This window comes from Homo sapiens, chromosome 5 (assembly GCF_000001405.40).
Source record: "Homo sapiens chromosome 5, GRCh38.p14 Primary Assembly".
NCBI classification, from domain to species: Eukaryota; Metazoa; Chordata; class Mammalia; order Primates; family Hominidae; genus Homo; species Homo sapiens.
Genome location: NC_000005.10, coordinates 136,578,532 through 136,603,010, shown reverse-complemented (window position 1 = coordinate 136,603,010; position 24,479 = coordinate 136,578,532).

The window sequence follows — 24,479 nt, the reverse complement described above, 5'->3', positions numbered from 1 at the left end:
ATGCTGATGATGGGAATGTAAACTAGTACAACCACTACGGAAAGCAGTATGGAGATCCCTTAAAGAATGAAAAGGAGATCTACCATTTGAGCCAGCAATCCCACTACTCGGTATCTACCCTGTATTAGTCTATTCTCACACTATTATAAAGAACTGCCCAAGACTGGGTAATTTATAAGGGAAAGAGGCTTAATTGATTCACAGTTCTGCAGGGCTGGGGAGGCTTCAGGAAACTTATAATCATAGTGGAAGGGGAAGCAAACTCATCCTTCTTTACTTGGTGGCAGGAAGAAGTGCCGAGTAAAAGGGGGGAAAGTCCCTTATAAAACCATCAGATCTCACGAGAACTCACTCACTATCACAAGAACAGCATGAGGGTAACCTCCCCCATGATTAAATTGCCTCCTACCAGGTCCCTTCTATGACATATGGGGATTATGGGAACTACAATTTAAGGTGAGATTTGGGTGGGGACACAGAGCCAAACCATATTATTCCACCCTTGTCCCCTCCCAAATATCATGTCCTCACATTTCAAAACACAATCATGCCCTTCTAACAGTATCCCAAAATCTTAACTTATTCCAGCATAACCCAAAAGTCCAAGTCCAAAGTCTCATCTTAGACAAGGCAAGTCCCTGCTACCGATGAGCCTGTAAAATCAAAAGCAAGTTAGTTACTTCCTAAATACAATGGGAGTACAGGCATTGGGTAGACACACCCATTCCAAATGGGAGAAACCAGCCAAAGGACAGGGCTACAGGTCCCATGCAAATCCGAAATCCAGCAGGGCAGCTAAATCTTAAAGCTCCAAAATGATCTCATTTGATTCCATGTCTCACATCCAGGGCAAACTGATGTAAGAAGTGGGCTCCCACAGCCTTGGGCAGCTCAGCTCCTGTGGCTTTGCAGAAAACAGCACCCCTCCTGGCTGCTTTCATGGGCTAATGTTGAGTGTCTGCAGTTTTTCCAGGTGCATGGTGAAAGCTGTTGGTGGATCTACCATCCTGGGGGCTGGAAGATGGTGGCCCTGTTCTCACAGCTCCACTAGGCAGTGCCACAGTGGGGACTCTGTGTGTGGGCTCCAACACCACATTTCCTTTCCACACTGCCCTAACAGAGGTTCTCCATGAAGCCTCCACCCCTGCAGCAAACTTCTGCCTGGACATCCAGCTGTCTCCATACATCCTCTGAAATCTAGGTGTAGGTTCCCAAATCTCATTTCTTGACCTTTGTGCACCTGCAGGTCCAACACCACATGTAAGCCACCAAGGCTTGGGGCTTGCACCCTCTAAGGCAATGGCCCAAGCTGTACCTTGATGCTTTTTACCAAAGATGGAGCTAAAGCAGCTGGGACACAGGACACCATACCCAAAGCTGCATACTGCAGGGGGGCCCTGGCCTAGCTCATGAAACCATTTTTCCCCCCAAGGCGTCCAGGCCTATGATAACAGAGGCAGTTGTGAAGGTCTCTGACATGCCCTGGAGGCATTTTCCCCATCGCCTTGGTGATTAACACTCAGCTACTCGTTATTTATGCAGATTTCTGCATCAGGCTTAAATTTCTCCCCAGAAAATGGGTTTTTCTTTTTCATTGCTTCATCATTCTGTAAATTTTCCAAACTTTTATGCTCTGCTTCTTGAACACTTTGCCACTTAGAAATTTCCTCAACCAGATATCCTAAATCATCTCCTTCAAGTTCAAAGTTCCACAGATCTCTAGGGCAGGGGCAAAATGCCTCCAGTCTCTTTGCTAAAGCATAACAAGCATCGCCTTTGCTCTAGTTCCCAATAAATTCCTCATCTCCATCTGAGACCACCTCAGCCTGAGCTTCATTGTCCATATCACTATCAGATTTTTTTTCAAAGCCATTCGACAAGTCTCTAGGAATTTTCATACTTTCCCACGCCTTCCTATATTCTGAGCCCTTCAAGTCTCCAGGAAATTCCAAACTTTCCCATTTTCCTGTCTTCTTCTGAGTCCTCCAAAGTGTTTCAATCTCTGCCTGTTACCCAGTTCCAAAGTTGCTTCCACATTTTCTAGTATCTTTACAGCAGCACCACACTCTCTGCAGTACCAATTTACTGTATTAGTCCGTTCTCATGCTGCTATAAAGAACTGCCCAAGACTGGGTAATTTATAAAGGTAAGAGGTTTAATTGACTCACAGTTCTGCAGGGCTGAGGAGGCCTCAGGGAACTCAGAATCATGGCAGAAGGGTAACCAAACATGTCCTTCTTCACGTGGCATCAGGAAGGAGAAGTAGTACTGAGGAAAAGGAGAAAAGGCCCCTTATAAATCCATCAGGTCCCATGAGAACTCACTCACTATCATGAGAACAGCATGAGGATAAATGTCCCCATGATTAAATTACTTCCCACTGGATCTCTCCCACAACACATGGGGATTATGGAAACTACAATTCAAAATGAGATTTGGGTGGGGGCTCCAACCCCACAGTTTCCTTCCACGCTGCCCTAGCAGTGGTTCTCCATGAGGGCTCCACTACTGCAGCAAACTTCTGCCTAGACATCCAGATGTTTCCATACATCCTCTGAAGTCTAGGCAGAGGTTCCCAAACTTCAATTCTTAATTTCTGTGCACCCATAGGTGCAACACCATGTATTAGTGTTGGACACAGAGCCAAACCACATCATATCCAAAGGAAAAAAAGTCATTATATGAAAAAGACACATGCACATGCCTGTTTATAACAGCACAGTTTGCAATTGCAAAAGTATGGAACTTAGGTCTGACCTAAGCACCCATCAACCAACAAGTGGATAAAGAGAATGTGCTATATGTACACTATGAAATACTACTCAGCCATAAAACAAAGTGAAACAATGGCTTTTGCAGCAACTTTGATGGAGTTGGAGACCATTATTCCAAGTGAAGTAACTTAGGAATGGAAAACAAAATATTGTATGTTCTTGCTTATAAGTGGGAGCTAAGCCATGAGGATGCAAAGGCATAAGAATGATAGAATGTACTTTGGGGACCTGGGGAGAAAAATGATGGGGGGATGAAGGATAAAAGACTACATATTGAGCATAGTGGACACTGCTTGGTTGACAGGTGCACCAATATCTCAGAAATCACTGCTAAAAAACTTATTTATGTAATCAAAAATTACCTGTTCCCCTGAAACTATTGAAATTAAAAACTTAGTTTTTTAAACTTAGTGCTTTATTCTGTGTCCACTTTTTCTCAACGAAAGTGTATTTTTATTCATTATTTCATAATCTTCCAGTAGTATGATAAAGAATTTGTCTAGTCTTTGTCCTGGGTTCCTAGCATGGAACTTCTAAAATCCTTGACATTTCCTGAGTGATAGAGTCTTTGCTATGCTAATTAGGTCACTCATGGTGGACTCCTAGATAGCTTCTTCTGGGCGAGTTGAGCTGATCACCAGAAAAACCTACCATGTGATTAGGGAGTTGGCACTTTAGACGATCTTAATTTTGGGGGAAAGGAGAGGAACAAGAGATTGAGTTAAGTCACATGGTATGTTTGTCTGTTCGCATTGCTATAAAGAAATACCTGAGACTGGGTAATTTATAAAGAAAAGAGGACTATTTGGTTCATGGTTCTGCAGGCTGTACATGAAGCATGGTGCTGGCATCAGCTTCTGGTGAGGGCATCAGGAAGCTAACAATTAGAGTAGATGACAAAAAGGGAAGCAAGACGGGGTGCCAGGCTATTTTAAATCACCAGCTTTCACATCAACTACCAGAGTGAGAACTCATGCATTACCATGGGGATGGCACCAAGCCATTCATGAGGAATCCACCCCCATTATGCAAACACCTCCCTACAGGCCCAACTCAACATTGGAGGTCACATTTCAACATGAGATTTGGAGAGGACAAAACATCCAAACCATATCACATGGCTAATGAGCTAATGAATTATGCTTATGCAATCAAGCCTCAATAAAACCTCTAGACAACAAGGCTCAGTGGAGTTTACTAATTTATTAAAACACTGATGTGCCAAGGGAGTGATTCACCCTCAGTCCACAGGGAGAGGCATGGAAGCTCCGTGTTTCCTCCCAGACCTCACCCTATGGGTATACTTTATAATAAAACTGTAATCATAAGTATTACTTTTCTGAGTTCAGTAAGTCATTCTAGCAAATTATCAAACACGAGGGGCAGAGTAGAAAAGTCTTGGATTGGTAGTTTGTTAGTCAGAATGCAGGTGGCTTGTGGATCCACATAATTTATAATTGATGTCTAATATACAGTCTTGTTATGAACCATGCTGATCTGATGCTAACTTCAGGTGGTTAACATTAAATTGAATTGTATTACAGTATATTTAGTTGTGGTAAAGGCAGGAATACTTCCCAACATTCAAATGTAGGAATCATATTTTCAAGTTACAGGGAATATGTTAATGTTTAAATACACTAAGTAATTCCCATTAGATAATACAGTTACTAAGTGGCTGACTTAGAATTTAAACTGAGGCTTGTGTGATTCCAAGGTCTGTGATCTTTTTGCTTTTTGCCAGCCTGCTCTAACTCTCACAAAGATCAGATATTACAAATGCTTATCCCAATCCCATTTCAGGAATGAAGCTGAAAGGAAAACTGCTAGGGGAGACATTTCTGGCCCTAAATCTTCAGTCTCCTTAGTGTGAGAAGTGTTTAGAGCAATGTAATTCTGCAGAATAAGCCTGCAAGTATGCAGCCAAAGATGACTGTCCTGAAATGTGAACTGTACAAACAGCTTTCTCCTGTGGTACAATGGTTTTCTGATTTCTTTAAGAAATGAGAGTTCCACAGTCTTGAATGATGTTCAAGGCCACTGTGTTAGGCTCTGAGGATACATGAAGTTAGAATCTAAGGTCTCCTCCTTTAAGCAGCTAACAACCCAGTGGGAAGACAGGACAAGGAAGAGTAAGATAAATAATTGAGACAAAAAAGATCACCCAAAGAAAATATTTATGAAGGTCAGGGTGATTGTGAAGAATTTCTAAGGGAAGATCAGAACCTGGCCTTGAAACATGTATAGGATTAGAAAAAGGATTACTTCTAAGATTGGAGTAGAGCACTATGTGCAATGTGTCTCCTACAGTGTCTTCAGTGAAAGTGATGATGAGAATGATGATGATGGTGATGATGACGATAATTCAAGGATAATTCAAGCAATTCTGCAGCTTTCAGATGAGTGCCCTTCTGGTCAGAGTGCCCAGAAATAAAAGAGCTGTTTATGCTTTGAAATGAAACTTGCACTGTTTAATTTTGTTCCTAGAGGCCTTTGAATTAGAAGCACTCATCCCAGCTGGGAGTGTTGGCTCATGCCTGTAATCCCAGCACTTTGGGAGGCCGAGGTGGGCAGATCACCAGAGGTCGGGAGTTCGAGATCAGCCTGGCTAACATGGTGAAACCCCCTCTCTTCTAAATACACAAAATTAGCTGGGTGTGGTGGTGCATGCCTGTAATCCCAGCTACTCAGGAGGTTGAGGCAGGAGAATCGCTTGAACCTGGGAGCTGAAGGTTGCAGTGAGCTGGGATCGAGACACCGCACTCCAGCCTGGGCGACAGAGTGAGATTCAGTCTCAAAAAAAAAAAAAAAGAAGAAAAAGAAGAACTCATCCCTAGAAGGAAAACTTGCCCAAACAAGAAGGAAATGCCCCTTTTAAGGGTAGGATATGCCTATAGGTGCCCTGAATGGGAGCATCAGTTTTGATAGAGAAAATTCCAAAGCCTGGGGTTTGCACAAGGAAAGGATTGAATGCATTGCAACTTTAAGTTCCCTATGTCACCATCCCCAGAGAGTAAAATGCTAATCCTCTGTCAGGCAAGTGTACCCAGAGAGTAGGGGGAACCAACCTATCCTCCCTCCCTCTGACATTATATGGTTCTGGTGCAGCTGACCCATTCTATGTTTGAAGACCAGGCCCTGATTGATTTAAGCTGATTGTGGTCTCCTCTCCCTATGTCAACCATAATTGGTTCGGGATGGACATATCAGCAAATCTGAGCCAATAAGAGAGAGAGCGTCTAAGGATTTGTGCAGGAACAACTAGAAGTGGCCCTCCTTCTCCCTTGGAGAATGGTTTAAGGCTGTGAGTTTGCAACTAGCAGTAGCTGTTCATAAATAAGAAAAGAGGGCTGGGAATGGGGAAGATAGCAATGTGTGAAGCCTGAGGATGAAGCCAGCACTATGAAAGATAGAGCAAAAAGAAAAATCAAGTTCTGGTTATAATATATGTGTTATTGAATCAAGTATCACCTAAACACGGAAATGTTCCTAAATCTTTCAGGTTTATGAGCCAAGAACTGCCTTCCTCACCCCCATTTTTTGCTTAATTTGGCTTTTTTATTCTTTTTTCTTTCTTACGACAAAAAATCCCTAACTGATGATAATGAACAAGCAGTCTCTGGCATTATATAATTTGCCTCAATTTACTGCCTGTGAATGTTCACTCCAAGTGTTAACCACTTGTGTAGAACAAATATCTGTAACAACATTTTCTAAGCATAATTCACTATGTATATTCATAATATCAGCCTATACTTGGAAATATGATATGTGAATATCTGTCAAATCTATCAGATCATAATGACTACTGCATAATGGCATATTCTAATGAGATTTAATATTCAAAATTGAAGATCAGTTAAGATAACTGCATTCAGAATATCACTGATTGATAATATTTTTGCACATGACAAATCTTGAAGCACCATAATTTAGATAAAGCACTTACCCCAACTTAGTCTCATTTTAAATTTAGTAATCCACTTTGTATTCAGGCATTTGGATACTGTGAAATAGTTTAGCCCTTAAGGTCTCCTCAAAAGAAATCTCAGATCAGAATGCATGCAGCCACTACTGGGATAATACCACAGAGTAGGTGAAGCAAAGACAGATAATGTGCTTGCAAAGCACTGCCCTTGCTAATGTGCAGATGCCCACACATTGCACATTACATCTTCATTATCATTTCTACCTTCAAGACCCTAAGGTTGTGTCATGAGCAGAATGAGTGTGCTTGGTGGGACAAAGAGGATCTTCAAAATCGCTCAATCCTCACATGTATGCTCCAAAACTACATGCCAAAATATTTCTCCAACCTTCACCAGAGTCACTCCTATAAACCAGAATATTCTTATCTTTTAGAAGACCTTGTTTTCTCTTTGTCTTCTCCTTTTCCATTTTCTTTTGTGCTTTGCAAAGGGTAAACAGCAAGAGGAGTACAGAGTCCATCAGTGATTTCCTGTACAGACTCACTTGATGTTAAAAATTTGTACATGTATCTCTCATCCAGGGTGAAGAAGCCCCTCTGAGCCTTGACAAAGAACATACTAAGGCAACAGTAAGAGGAGGAATACAGCATTCCCATGTCTGGGTGGGGAGTGGTATTTTCGAAATCCAATGTTACATGGAAGACAAAGTTCTTTCCTTCATGGAAACTTTTTCTTTGCCCATTCATCTCTATGGCCACAGCAGCTAAAGTTAGAAATTGCTGTTTCAGTGGAGGCCAGAAACAAGAAAACAGCATCTGTAACCTGATAAATGAAAATAAAATGTTATATACATTGTTATTAACACATCAATATATATAGGAATAAATATATGTGTGTTTTTATATTTATTTAAAATACTATTTTTTACCAGGATAATATCATATATATATAGTTTAATTTCTTTAATACTGCTTTTTCTCCCTTTAAAAATTTCATTGAAAGTTGATTGACTTTTAAAGTGAAACTAATAAAAATATATTCTGGGCTTTATAACAGATGTAGAAGTAAAATAAAATATATGGAAAAAATGCACAAAGGTCAGGGTGGGGTGTATAGAATTACAATTTGAAACATCCTTCATGTGTTTATGAATAGTATAATATTATTTGAAGGTAGCTGTGAAAAGTTAAATTTGCAGATGGTAATCTCTAGAGCAACCACTAAAAATTAACACAAAGAAGTATAACAAAGATGTCAATAAATAACATGAAATGGAATACTAATATCTTAACATTAATTAATATTTTAATGCCCGATTTGTCCAAAAGAAGGCAGGAAAGGAGGAAAAAGGGAACAAAGAAACAAAGAATTTATAGGACATTGTTGTGGGCTAAATTTAGCACCCTCCCCAAATTTATATTTTGGAGTCCTATGTCCCAAGACCTCAGAATGTGACTATACCTGAAGACAGGGTCTTTGAAGTGGTAATTACATTAAAATGAAGTCATTGGGGTGAGCCCAAATCTAATACGATGGGGGTCCTTATAAGAATATGAAATTTGGACACAGACACGAAGAGAAGACTATGTTAAGACACAGGGAGAAGATGGCCATATCTAATCCAAAGAGAGAGGCCTGAAGCAGATTCTTTTCTCATGACCATCAGAAGGAAGTGACTCTGATAACACCTGGACCTCATTCAGCACCCAGAACTGTGAAGATGTAAATTCCTGTTGTTTAAGTCACCCAGTTGGTAATACTTTGTTATGGAAGTCCTAGCAAGCTAATACAGTGAATACAAACATTTAAAAAACAAATAACATAATGTGTATGCAACATACATAGATCAATTGTACTTGCATTATTCTGATAATAAAGAATTGGAAAATTCCATTTATAATAGCAACCAAAATATAAAACACCTTAGAATAAACCTAATAAAAGATGTACAATACTTCTACACTGAAAACAAAACAGAAATGATGTTAAATCCAAATAAATGGAGAGGTATATAATTTTCATGGATCAGATGCCTCAAAATTGTCAAGGTGCTTATTCTCTCCAAAATTAAAATCCCAGCAGAGCACGTTGAAGAAAATGGAAAACTAATAGGTATTTAAAATCTGAAATTTAACTATTTTTCTAATTCCTCTAGATGTGAAGTTACATTATTAATTTGAGATCTTTCCAACTTTTTATGGTAGGTCTTTAGCGCTATAAACTTTACTCTAAATACTGCTTTTGCTGCATTCCAGAGTTTTTGGTATGTTGTGTCTCCATTTTCATTTATTTCAATCTTTTTTAATTTCTGCCTCAATTTTGCTATTTACCCAAAAGCAATTCAAGAACAAGTTGTTTAGTTTCCACGTAATGATGTGGTTTTGAGAGATCTTTTTGGTAGTGATTTCTATTTTTATTTCACTGTGGTTCAAGAGTATGGTTGGTATGATTTCACTTTAAAAAAAAATTTTGAGTTGCTTTATGGCCAAGCATGTTATCAATCTTGGAGTATGATCCATATGCAGATAAGAAGAATGTATATTCTTTGGTTGATCAGTGGAGTACTCTGTAAATGTCTATTAGGTCCAACTGACCAAGTGTCAAATTTAAGTCCAGAATTTCTTTGTTAGTTTTCTGCCTCTATGATCTAACAATGTCAGTAGGATGTTGAAGTCCTCCACTACTATTATGTGGCTATCTAGGTCTTTTCCTAACTATAGAAGTACTTGTTATATGAATTTGTGTGCTCCAATTGATGGGTGCATGTATATTTATGGTAGTTAAGTCTTCTTGTTGAATTGAGCCCTTTTATCACTATCTAGTGCGCTTCTTTGTCTTTTTTTTCACTATTGTTGAAGTCTGCTTTATCTCATATAAGAATAGCGCCCCTGCTCTTTTTTGTTTTCCACTTGCACAATGTTTCTTTCTCCAACACTTTACTTTGAGGCTGAGTGTCTTTGCATGTTAGATGGGTCTTTTGAGGACAGAAAATAGATGGTCCTATTTTTTTTATCTAACTTTCCACTCTGCCTTTTAAGTGAGCATTTAGACCATTTACATTCAAGGTTAAAATTGATATGTAGACTTTAATCCTATCATGAAGTTGTTAGCTGGCTGCTTTGTAGTTTCTATTGTGTGGTTGCTTTATAGGATCAGTGGGCTATGTACTTTAGTGTATTTTTATGGTAGTGGGTATCTCTTTAATTTCCATGTTTAGAACTCACTTAAGAATCTCTTGTAAGGCTGATCTAGTGGTAATAAATTTCCCTGACTGGAAAAGATCTTATTTCTCCTTTGCTTATGAAGCTTAGTTTGGCAGGATATGAAATGCATGGTTAGATTCCAGTCTCTCCTGGCTTGTAAGGCTTCTGCTGAGAAGTCCACTGTAAGCCTCAAGGGGTGTCCTTTGTACATGGTCTGGCCTTTTGTCTAGCTGCCCTTAAGATTTTTTCTTTAACATTGACGTTGAACAGTCTGGTGATTATATGCCAGGGTAACGTTAGTTTTATGTAGTATCTTACAAGTGTTCTCTGAATTTCTTGTATCTGAATGCCTATCTCACTTGCAAGATTAGGGAAATTTTCTTGAATTATTAGGGAAAAACAAGAACAAACTCACCCCAAGCTAGCAAAAGAAAAGAAATAACTAAAATCAAAGCAGAATTGAATGAAACTGAGACCCAAAAAATCCATAAAAAGGACAAATGAAAACAAAATTTTTTTTTGAAAGAATGAAGAAGAGTGATAGCTACCTAGTAGGGTTGACAAAGAATAAAAGAGAGAAGGGCCAAATAAGCACAGTTAGAAATGACAAAGGTGACATTACGATTGATCCCACAGAAATACAAAAGACCCTCAGAGACTATTATGAACACCTCTATGCACACAAACTATAAAATCTAGAGGTAATGGATAAATTCCTGAAATACACAATCTCCCAAGATTGATCTAGGAAGAAAATGAAAACTTGAGCAGAGCAATAATGAGTTCTAAAATTGAATCAGTAATAAAAAAAAACAAACTACCAACCCCCAAAGCCCGTGTACTATCTATTATGAACTGGCAGCCAATATCATACTGAACAGTCAAAAACTAGACTCATTCAATCACGTGTGATGGCTCATGCCTGTAATCCCACACTTTAGGAGGCCAAGGTGGGCGAATTACTAGAGCCCAGAAGTTCAAGGCCAACCTCATCAGCATAGTAAGACCCCCCCACACCAAACAAACAAACAAACAAAAAACCTAGTCGTTTCCTTTGAGAACTCTCACCATTCCTGTTCAATGTAGTACTGGAAGTCCTAGCCAGAGCAATCAGGCAAGAGAAAGAAATAAAAGGCACCCATATTGAAAAATAAGAAGTCAAATTATTTCTCTTCACAGACAATATGATTCTATACCTAAAGACTCAGCCAAAAAGCTCCTGGAACAGAAAAATGACTTCAGTAAAGTTTCAAGATACAAAATCAATGTATAAAAATCATTAATGTTTTCATACACCAATAATGTTCAAGCTGAGAGTCAAATCAAAAATGCAATCTCATTACAATAGCCACCAAAAATAAAATGTTTAGGAATATATCTTTAAAAGGAGGTGAAAGATCTCTACAAGGAAAACTACAAAACACTGCTGAAAGAAATCAGAGACAACACAAATAAATAGAAAAACATTCTATACTCATGGATTGGAAGAATCAATATTGTTAAAATAGCCGAACTGCCTAAAGTAATCTGCAGAGTCAACGTCATTTCTATCAAGCCACCACTGTTATTTTTCACATAGCTAGAAAAAACTATTCTAAAATGCATATGGAACCAATAAAGGGCCTGAATATTCAAAGCAATCCTAAGCAAAATAACAAAACCAGAGACATTACATTACCCAACTTCAAACTATACTATAAGGCTACAGTAATCAAAATAGCACAATACTAGTACAAAAACAGGCATATAGGACAATGGAACAGAATAGAGAACCCAGAAATAAAGCCACACATCTACAGCCATCTGATCTTTGATAAAAGTTGACAAAAATAGGAAATGGGGAAATGACACCTTATTCAACAAATGATGCTGGGATTGCTGGCTAGCCATATGCAGAAGAATGGAACTGGATGCCACATAGAAAATGTAACTCAAGAAGGATTAAAGATTTAAAGGTAAACTATTAGAATCCTAGAAGGAAAACCTCTCTAGATATCAGTTTTGCAAGGAATTTATGACTAAGTCCTCAAAAGCAATTGCAACAAAACCAAAAATTGAAAATTGGCACTTAATCGAAAGAACTTCTGTATAGCAAAAGAAACTATCAACAGAGTAGACAACCTACAGAATGGGAGAAAATATTCACAAATTATACATCCAACAAAGGCCTGATATTCAGAATCTATAAAGAACTTAAACAATTGAACAAGCACAAAACAAATAACACCATTGAAAAGTGGGCAAAAGACATGAACAGGCATGTCTCAAAAGATGACATGCAAGTAGCTAACAAACATATGAAAAAATGCTCCACATCACTAATAAGAGTAACGAAAATCAAAACCACAATAAGATACCATCTCACATCAGTCAGAATAGCTATTATTAACAAGTCAAAAAACAACAGATGTTGGCAATGCTACAGAGAAAAGGGAGTGCTTATACACTATTGGTGGGAATGTGAATTAGCTCAGCCACTGTGTAAAGCAGTTTGGAGATTTCTCAAAGAGGTTAAAACAGAGCTACCATTTGATCCAACAATCCCAATTCTGAGCACATATCCAAAAGAAAATAAACATTTCTACCAAAAAGGTACCTGCACTCATATGCTCATTCAAGTACTATTAAGAATAGCAGACATGGAATCAATCTAGGTGCTCACCAATGGTGGATTGAATAAAGAAAATGTGGTATATTTATACTATGGAATATTAAGCAGCAATAAAAAGGAATGAGATTATGTCCTTTGCAGAAACATGGATGGAGCTGGAAGCCATTATCCTAAGCAAAATATCTCAAGAACACAAAACCAAGTACCACATGTTCTCACTTATAAGTGGGAGCTAAACATTGGAGGAAGGGAAGGGGAACGGACTGAAAAACTAACTATTGGGTATTATTCTCAGTACTTATGCAATGGGATCAATCGTACTCCAAACACTTCAGCATCGTGCAATATACCCAAGTAACAAAACTGCACTTGTACTTCCTGAATCTAGAATAAAAGTCGAACTTATGAAAGTAAATATATAATAAAGTAAAATTTTTATGGAAATTCAAAGGGTCTATAATAAGAAAAACAGCCTTGAAAAGAGCAATGAGGTTGGATAATTTATATTTTATGATTTAAAAATAAAGCTACAGTAATAAAGATAGTGTTAGATCAATTGATTGATGGGAAAGATTGTGAATCTAAATACGTATGTGCACATATATGGACAACTGAACTTCAATGCACAAAGTCAGTGGAGAAAGCTGTTTTAACAAATGGTGCTAGAATAATTGGATGTTTGTATGAATAAATAGAAGCCTCAGCCCCCATTTCATGCCATACACAAAAATTAATTCACTTAATATCATATATCTAAATATAAAAGCTTAAAAATATAGAGCTTTCTAGAAGAAAAAGTTAGAGGAAATCAGAAAGTCTATTAAAAAGAGAATGGATAAACACATTTTACAAAATAAAATACTACTCAGCAAGGAAAAAGAATAAAAGAACATGAGACTGTGTACTATATTATTTCATTTATATTCAGTATAAGAATATTAAAAACTGATACATTGTAGCAGAATTCAGAAAGTCATTGCCTCTGGCATGGAGTGAGGCAGTTAAAAAATGGCTGGAAAAGTTAATGAAGAAATTTTCCTGAGGGATCAACCAACAAAAAGAAAGATAAATATTACTTCTAGCTGAGGAGGATAAAAACTGGGATGGAATAACAAGAAATGGTTTTATGTAAGAATGGGCATTTGAGCTGAGTCTTGGAGGATGAGGAGGGAGTGCACCTTAGACATGGGATAAAAGAAATGATAAACAGTCAAATGTCTGCACCACAAAACCAGCAAATACCACATCATCTTTCTTTCCATGCCACAAATATCAATGGACTCTTCCCTGTACAATCTCAAGGCTAGTAAACAAGTGTATGCTTCAGTCCTTCAAACAGGCTACCTGTCTTTCTAAGAAACCATTTGTATTCTGAATGAATTGCATATTCTGATTGAAATGTTTGCTGTAGGTAACATTTTGTTACTTCTTGGCATCATAGATAGAGGGAAAATCCACCCAGCGGGTCTTAAATTGCCTCTCAATATGCAGTCCTCTTCCCCAAGGCTTTTCCTTTGATTGGAACACTGCTTGCTGTGCTGATTCTGTTGACTGATCTGCAGTGTAGAAGAGTACTCAGAGGGAGAACCCTCTGTCCAGCAGCCTGCCCCACTCTGTTCCAACAGGAGTCCCAATTAGGGAATATCCAATTTCTGCATATTCACTTCTGCTTAATTATATCAAAGCCGGTCCACTTTCCTATGCAATTTCTGTACCATAACAGAAACTCATGTAAGTTTTGGACATGAGTATGATACCATCTCTGGTTTCCCATACTGATGCATATTTCTTCTTCCTATTCTTTTTTGCTTTTTTTATTTGTGAAAAATTATGGGGTCCATGAAAAATTTTGTTACAAAATAATGTGTAGCGTATATAATGTGGTTCCATCAAGACAGTATTCAGTGTCCATTACCCAAGTACAATATATTTACAATGTTAAGTTTGATTTTAAGTACAATGTTAAGCATGGTCATCCTACTCTGCTATCAAAACTTGAATTTATTCATCTTATCTTACCATAAGTTTGTACCCTTTAGCCCACTTCTCTTCATCCTTTCCCCTCCCACCCACTCACATCCCCAGCCTTGTTATCTATTTTCCACTCCTAAATATAAGTGAGCACATGCGATATTTGTCTTTTGTGTCTGGCTTATTTCACTTAAGAGAATGATTTCCAGTTTTCTCCATGTTGCCACAGATAACATGATTTTATTGGTAGTATTCTATTGTTTATATACATCACATTTTCTTTATTCATACATTCGTTGATAGACACTAAGGTTGATTCCATATGTTAGCTATTGTGAATAGGGCTACAATAAACATGTGAATGCAGGTATCCTTTTCATATATTGATTTATTTTCCTTTGGGTAGATACCCAGTAGTGGGATTGCTGGATCGAATGGGAATTCCATTTTTAGTTTTTTGAGAAATCACCATACTGTTTTCCATAGTGGCTGTACTAGCTTTAATTCCTACCAACGAATTGAAGGGAAGTCTTTTCCCTTTTCTTCACATTCTCTCCAACTTGTTTTTTTGTGTCTTTTTAATAATAGCAATTCTAGCTGAGGTAAGATGATGCCTCACTGTGGTTTTGATGTGCATTTCTCTGATTATTAGTGATACTGAGCATTTTTTTCATACACCTATTGGCCACTTGTATGTTTTATTTTGATAAATGTCTATCCATGTCCTTTGCCTACATTTTAATGGTATTATTTGATTTTTTTCTTATTGAGTTTTTTAGTTTCTTGTATATTCTGGATATTAATTCCTTGTAAGATAAATAGTTTGCAAATATTTTTCCCATTCAATAGGAGGTCTCGTCACCCTGTTGATGATTTCTTTTGCTGTGAAGAAGATTTTTAGCTTAATAAAGTCTCATTTACCTATTTTTTGGTTTTGTTGCCTGTGCTTTTGAGCTCTTAGTCATATATTCATTGCCTAAATCAAGAACCAGGAAATTTTTCCCTAGGTTTTATTCTAGTAATTTAATAGTTTTGTGTCTTGCATTTAAGTCTTTACTCCATTTTAACTTGATCTTTGTATATGATGAGAGATAGGGGTCAATTTCATTCCTCTGGATGTGGCTCTCCAATTTTCCCGGCATCATTTACTGAAGAGGCTACCTTTTCCCCATTCTAAGTTCTTTCTGGTTTTGTCAAAGATCAGTTGGCTGCAAATGTGTGGCTTTATTGTTGAGTTCTCTACTCTGTTCTATTGGTCTGTGTGTCTATTTTTTATACCAGCACCCTGCTTTTTTGGTTACTATAGCCTTGAAATGTGTTTTGAAGTCAGGAAATGTGATGCCTCTAGATTCTTTTCTTTTTCCTTAGGATTGCTTTGGCTATTCAAGCTCTTTTTTGATTCCATATGAATTTTAGGATTGGTTTTTTCTAATTCTGTAAAAAAAAGACATTGTTATTTTGATAGGAATTGCATTAAATCTGTAGATTTCTTTGGGCAATATAATCATTTTAATGATATTGACTTCTGATTCGTGAGCATTGGATGTTTTTCCATTTGTTGGGATCATCTTCAATTTCTTTCAACAGTGTTTTGTAGTTTTCCTTGTAGAAATCTTCTACCTCCTTGGTTAAATTTATTCCTAGGTATTTTAATTTTTTGTAGCTATTGTGAGACTGCCTTCTTCATTTCTTTCCTGGCTTGATCATTATTGCTGTATAGAAATGCTAGTAATTTTTGTACATTAATTTTGTAATCTTCAACTTTACTCCTGAATTTATTTTCCAAATCTAGGACTTTTTATTATAAAAACTTTCAACCATACACAGAAGAGAATACCATAAAGAATTCTCCTGTCACCCAATTTTACAATACCCACGTTTTGCCATTCTGATTGATTTCTGTCTTTTTTTTATTTGTTCTCTTTTAGCTCTTAAGTGGAAAGGATAATTTTTTTTCACTATGAAAATGCTTTAATGGTGGTGTCTGTACCGCATGTGATGTCAAGAAAGAACAGTGAGGGCCCTCCCTGTTGCCCTCCCCTGGCCTCTAGCAACCACTGCCCTACTCTCTGCTTCTATATGATAAACTTTTTCAGCTTTCACATATGAATGAGAAGATGCAGTGTTTATCTTTCTTTGCCTGGCTTATTTTACTTAACATAATGTCCTCCAAGCTTATCCATGCATCCATGTTGCCACTAATGACAGAATTGTGTTCCTTTTTATTTTTTGGATTCTTTTGGTATTTTTTTAAATCACTTTATAGGAGACGAAGGGTGGGGCTCTATTTCTGAGCTCAAGTCATTGTCTTTCCTAGATGCTAGCCTGCGTTAATAACTTTACAATATTGCACAATGTTAGGAACCTGTTTAAAAAAAGTCTTATATTTACACGTGATAGGTAATTAATCTAATTGTGTTACATTTTATGTCGGAATTAAAGAAGGAGTGTTTGAGTTGTATAAACTGGGTTCAGATCCCAGCCCTACCACATTCTCAGGCAGCAAATTAACATTTCCAAGCTTCATTTTCCTCATCAGTAAAATGAAGATGTTAACAGTATCTATTTCCTGGAATAGTTATGAGGGTAAAATGAGATAATGCATCTAAAGCTTCCGCATGTGCCTGGCACACAGTAACTGCTTAATACATATTTAAAAGAATTATTGTAATCTTCCGTCATTGCTGGATCTGGTACCAAACTTACTTTCATGTAAGTTCAGATTTCTCACACCTAGACTTTTCAAGAATAGGTTTTCTAAAAAATCATAGTTTATGGTACAATTTAATTTTATCTAACCGTAAAAGCAGTACAAAAAAAAAAAGAAAGAAAACCTCCTAGATGTATATACATCCTCTCTGTCTAGATAGAGCTCTTTGGAAAGCTAGGAATCCCAGACACAATGAGGATTTAAACAGATTTATTGAAAATCATATTTGGAATGCATAAGTTGTAGGCCCAAGATTAAGGCAAGTCTCTCTCTCCAGAACATTTTCTTCAGTAGTAATAGACAGGCAAAGCCTTTTTCTTTTTAAATCATTCTCTAATGAGAAATGGTTTAAACTGGAAAACTTCTTTATACAGCAATTTGGGCAGATCCAGGGATAAAATGAAAAGATCATTCAGTAACAGAACTAAAGCTGTCCTAACACAACTATCTCAGTCAGAATTAGAATGAGATGTTCATGACAATTGACAGCCATCATGCTGGTACACTTGCCACAGAACAGACCTGAGCCAGATAACTCACATTAATTCCCATCCCTGATCCTCCTCAACACTACCCCTCTGAACTCTGTTCAAAACCCTTGAGCAGCTTCTCATTAATCTCAGAATAAAGTTTCCAAAACTTAACATGCCCTGAAAGTCCATGCATGGTCCAGACCCTAATGACTTCCTCACTCATGATTCTGCCTTCACTCATGTATTCTAGCCACACCATCCTCAAATGAAACATACTCCCACTGCCACGGGGCCTTTGCAAATACTGTCCTCTCTGCTTGGAATGCCCCAGTGGGCTCTTCTTCATGCTTTAGACCACAGCTCAAGCGTTTATGGTACCATTGAACACCTCCTTCATAACTCTTAAAATTATAATCAATAACTATGCAATTAATTTGTTAATACTATAGTTGTTTAAATTTCTCATTAGAATAGAAATGTCATGGGGATAAGGACAGTGTCTACCATGCTAACCATTCTATTCCTAATGTTTGTATAGGACAAATGTTCAATAAATATTTATTGACTAAGTAAATGAATGGATTTTCATTCTCTACCAATATCAGAGCTTGGGCTATAAACCTCTAAGTGCAACTTATCTTTGAATCGAAGCGTATGAGTCATTCAGCAACATGAGCGCTGGCTTACATTGACTTGTATATCTATGATATCTTGTGTGTGCATGTGGATGAGTATCTGTTGATCTATGTTCTCACCGGTTTTCTCTTTCCCTGAGTTGCTTGGGGAGTTCCTGGGTTGCTACTCCCTGGGGAGTACTGGCAGGTACTCCCAGATACCCTGCCAGGTAACATATGATTTCTTTATTTTTGCCATCGTTTCCCTATTACTGGTCTTTTTTGCTTTTCCCAATCCCCTCAGAGGCCAAAACCATCCTAAAATCTGGTGGTCTCATTGGCGTTCACCATTCATGGCTCCCAGGCTTTTGATTTAACGGCTCTTTTACTTTCAAGGCCTGCCTTCTTCACTGCCAAGATATTTAGTTATTATTATTCATAGAAAATTATTCAAAAAATAGATTCATTCTCTCTCTGCCTCCATCTCTCAGCTGATGGGGATATTATTCTTGGTTTTAGGGCTATAAACTTCAGGGAAAATATTATTTTTTAAATCCTTGGTTGAGTTTTAGGAGATTCATGATATTTTTCACTGAATACCATGCATCCCTTTATAAAATAATGATGATATGCCTAGCTCTTCAAGAGGATGCAAACTGTACAACTAAGACTTTGGAATTGAGAGCTTTTGGAAAATAATTGAAACTTTCATATGGTTTACACAACTATAGTTGTGATTTATTTATTTATGTGTTCATCCATCTAACCAGCATTTGCTCAGTTTCTAATATGAATTAGGCACCATATTTATACCTAGTTCATGATAGAATGATGTAGAAGGCAGATGAAAGTCCTGCCCTCAATGAGGCATAGATTCATGCTGCAAGAAATAAAGAGTAAACAATAAAATATCTATTTATAGCAAGTACAATGCCAGGATATTATGAGTTAGCTATAATCACTGAAAATCTATTTTCTCCTCCATGGTAAGAAGAGCATTGCTGCTTCGCCTTGGCCATGCTATGTGCACTGTTCAGTTATAGCATTTTTTGTTTGTTTGTTTTTTATCTTTTAGGTTCAGGGTACACGTGCAGGTTTACTATCTAGGTAAATTGCATGTCATGGGGGTTTGGTATATAGATTGCTTTATCACCCAGGTAATAAGCATAGTACCCGATAAGTAATTTTTTAATAGTTGTCCTTCTCCCACCATTTAACCTCAAGTAGGCCCCAGTGTCTGTTGTTCCCTTCTTTGTGCCCATGTGTAGTCAATGTTTAGCTCCCACTTATAAGTGAAAACTTGTGGTATTTGTTTTCTGTCCCTGCATTAGTTTGTTTGGGATAATGGCCTCTAGCATCATCCATGTTGCTGCAAAGGATATGGTCTTGTTCTTTTTATGGCTGCATAGTATTCCATGGTGAATATGTACCATATTTTCTTTATACAGTCTACCATTGATGGGCATTTAGGTTGATTCTATGACTTTGCTATTGTGAATAGTGCTGTGATGAATATATGTGTGCATAAGTCTTCATGGTAGACCAATTTGCATTCCTCTGGGTATTTACCCAATAGTGGGATTTCTGGGTCAAACTGTAGTTCTGTTTTAAATTCTTTGAGAAAACACCACACGGCTTTCAATAATGATTGAACTAATTTACATTGCCACCAGCAGTGTATAAGTATTTGCTTTCCTCCACAACCTCACTAGCGTCTTTTCTGTCTTTTTAAATAATATCCATTCTGACTGGTGTGAGGTGGTATCTTGTGTAGTTTTGATTTGCATTTCTTTAACTATTAGTGATGCTGAATATTTTTTCATATGGTTGTGGGCCATGTGTATGTCTTCTTTTGAAACGTGTCTTTTCATGTCCTTTGCCCACTTTTTAGTGGGGTTGGTTGGTTTTTTTTCTTGTGAATTTGTTTAAGTTCCTTGTAGATGCTGGATATTAGACCTTCGTTGGATGCATAGTTTGTGAATATTTTCTCCCATTCTGTAGACTGTCTGTTTAGTTTGTTGATAGTTTCTTTTGCTGTGCAGAAGCTCTTTAGTTTAATTAGGTCCCCTTTGTCAATTTTTCTTTTTGTTGCAACTGCTTTTTGTTTGCAGATAATATGATTCTATAGATAGAAAACCCCACAATCTCTGTCCAAAAGCTCCTAGATCTTATAAACAACTTCAGCAAAGTTTCAGAATACAAAATCAACGTACAAAACTCAGTAGCATACACTAGCAGTGTTTTTCAAAGTTTTTTAAAGATTCCCTAGTGGTCATGAAATTGAGATTTTACTAATATTTTTAGTGAATTAAATAGAACATATCAGAGATTATTTCACATATTAAAGGTTAATATTGATATTTGTTTCAGATTTAAATTTATGGATATCCTGGCTCTGATGTAAAATATATGTGACAGCAGGTCACCATAAAAAATGTATGAAGGCATGGCTCCTTAGGCCACAAGCTCAGCACTGTGTCACCACATATGAGGTGCTTAGGGGCACCACCTATGAGGTGCTTGTTATAATGGTAACAAGACAGGCAGCTGGTTCCTTTAGGACAAGAAGTAGGCACATTAAAATTCAACTTCATTTCAAAAGATATTTCATTTCTTTAGATTTTGGATTTGAAAATATTATTTGAATGTATAATCAAGAAGAACTAAAAATAAGTTATCACTCAGCATGGACAACTTTAAAAATGATATGATGGGGATAGGAAGTATTGGTAGGCTTTCCTAATTATAGATATGCCACATGATTATTAAATTACTCCATTCACTCCATCTTTATTGAGCATTTATTGTGCCCCAAGCACCGTGTTGAATAAATCACACATCGTTCTTACTCTCATCATGTTTACAATTTTCTCTTCACTATCTAAATTAATGGTCCTGAACCCTGACAGCACAATAGCATCATCTGGAGGACTTTTGAAAAAACTGATGCCCAACCCTATTCCCGGAGATTCTAATTTAATCAGTCTGGACTAAGATGCAGAATTAATATTTTTAAAGTTGTCCAGATGATTCTAATGTGCAACCATGATTGAGAATCAATGGCCTTTAGCGTTCAATAAAAATCTTGCAAATTTAAGTATTATTTAACTTTGGCTAAAATACCCAGAACATTTTTTGTCTCAGGGTGATAAAATAAACTCTTCATACAAAAGTGAGAATTTTAAAATTTCTCTAAAAATGTCAGCATCTATAAAGTCCTTGAGTTTTTTTTTATCATTTTGAAATAGTGATCTTTACCATTTTAAAATCACTCTGCTCTGGCTAAATATTAATAATCAGTTTTTTATTATTTTTATTTTGAATTTTTACCTTAGTTATTAGTTTTGAGTTATTTGTTAATTTATGAAATGACCTTAATTTCCATTTCCCCTAAATGGTTAAAATTAAGGACAAAAATCACCCTTTAAGTTTCATTTTTTAGTGATTGTTATCAAATTAAAGTTGTATGTCTACACATTTGTAGATAAAATATTCAAATTGATACCATTTGGATATTTGTCTCATTTTTGCTATTAATTATATTAAATATTACTAAAAGTATGAGTAATACTTCTACTCCCATTAATACATTTATTAATAGCTCATTCCTCTTTGATTTCCAATAATAAATCTCCTTGTGATGAAAGTTTATCAAGAATCTGAAAAAAAACTGCCTGATTCAATGCCCTATTTTTCTCATCAGCTTTTGTGTTTTATCTGTTTAAGTGTTTTTAACTGGTTTAAAAAGGCAGCTCTCATCTCTAACAGAATGATTTTTGCCTTCCCTGAAGATAGGATTAAACCATCTGATTGAAGGACTCCATTCTGCCTTATTTCCTTTTCAAATGAAGCTGAGCAAATCAGCTGAAATAGTTGTTAGCTGTCTGAGTTTCCCTCCAAGTTGGGCTCATTGCCTGTTGATGATATTCTTATTTATTCCATTCTTTGGAGATATTGATGACACCTAGAGGTATCTTTCATCTTCTCTTATCTCATGATTAGATCCTTAAAAGTGTTTGTGGCCTATTGAAACAATCACCTTGACTTGGCAGCCCACAACTGTGTGGACTCGGCCTCATTCACTGCAACCTCCGCCTCCTGGGTTCAAGTGATTCTCCTGCCTCAGCCTCCTGAGTAGCTGGGATTACAGGCATGCACCACCACGCCCAGCTACTTTTGTATTTTTAGGAGAGACGAGGTTTCTCCATGTTGGTCAGGCTGGTCTCGAACTCCCAACCATGTGATCTGCCTGGCTTGGCCTCCCAAAGTGCTGGGATTACAGGCATGAGTCACCACTCCCAGCCATTAGCTATTTCTTTACGGAGCCTAGGTTTCTTTTAGAGACAAATTTTATTTCAATACCACAATCTGGGTACTAGAGCTCATTGCTACTGGGATGATCGTTGTCTCTAGGCTTCTCCATTCATTAGTATCCAGAGCTAGGAAATACACACATACACACATACATATATAAAGATAAAAGACCACATAAGTTTATTTTGCTGCCTCTAATTCAAATTTAAGCCTACAGAACTTTTACTCAACTTTCCCTCTATTATATATGCATCTCCTTTCTTTCACACTGAGAATCTTGGTTCTCAAGAACAGCAGGTGTGATAGAATGAAAATATTCCATAATTACTCATTTGTTTATTCACATATTATACATACAACAGTATCCAAATAATAATATTGAGACTAATACTAATATTAGTGAATACAATTCCTGAAAATATTACAATTATTTTTGCATATGACTTACACATTCTTCTCCTGTATTTCTTGGAGTTCTACTCTATCTGCATTGTCATAATACATAGTACTTATGAATTCTATCCTCCCCTTCTTAGCTCTCACTTAGTTTTAGTTCTATAGATTCCTATAAGCTGACAACTGATGCTCATGTCTATGTCTCTTTATGTCTAAAAAACATTATAGGGCTATCACCATTTTTTTATTATTTTTAGTTCTTTCTCAAGTTTTGTCATCACATTTTTATGTTTTTCTAATTTTGATTTGTATTGTTCTTTAATGTCATATCATTTTCTTAATCTCTTTTAGTTTTAAAATTGTAGGATATAGTTTTGTTGTTTGGGAGCATATCTTTCTAACATGCTTTCATTGTCTGCAGAGATGTTATTCTGCCCCTTATTCTCTTTTTTCTTATAATAACTGAGTATGGGTTTGGCCTTCATACTTTTCTGTTGCCCATTTTTATGTGTAATTGGTTCTCTGCACTTTTAGAATGGGCGTGGTTCAGGAAAGCTTTTATAACTTCACAGAGCTCCCTCGTCTGTTTCATAATGCTCCAAAATAGGCAGCCTGCTTCCTGAGGTCTCCCAGCTCTGTTCTCCTCCCCAGTGTTGTCTTTTCTTGTCCCTGGTGTCCATCTCCTGCTCAATTTTGATTCTACTCCCAGCAGTTATTCCTGAGGGCGGGCCCATCCTAGCAGGAGCTCTGGCTATTTTGAGAATTCATCTCAAGCTTTGGCTGATGGCTGCAGCTCCCTCACACCTCTCTAGCACCAGATTTCTTGCACTCATTTGATATGGGGTAGAGTAAACCCCACCCTCATTTCAGCTGCTGTTCTCTAGTTAGCCTGTGGTACTTTCCGGTGAATACCTATTAAGTTTTTGGGGTTCTCTGTTCTCAGCCCTATAAAATGCTGGCCTATAGTTTCAGTTGTGTTCTCCACAAAAACGCCAATACCCCATAGATCTTGTGGCTGTTGGTGGCTTATATTTTAGGGTTTGTGGGGACACCTCACCTAGTTTTGTTGTCAATGTTGTCTGTGTTTTGCCATAAAGTTGCTCAAATTTTATGGGGGCATTCAGAGATTGAAAAACTTTATAGCCATTGCCACCCTCTGCTCAGAATTCTCCTGAATATATGTATTTTTCACTTTGCTAATGTAATAGGCAAAAAAGTTTTAAATTTTTAATCTTGATACCATTATATTATAAAAATAATATATGCCCATTGAGGATATTCAGAAAACTCATAAAGTATACAGAAAACAATAAAAATTGCCTATAATTTTATCACCCGAGATACATACAACTACTAAGAATTAGGTGTGTTTTTTAACCTTTTTAAATGTTTAAGTAAAACACATTTTATTTATATTCATGTATAGTGTATAACATTATACATGGATCAAATTGATTCAGTTTTGTATCTGATGTTTTATAGTT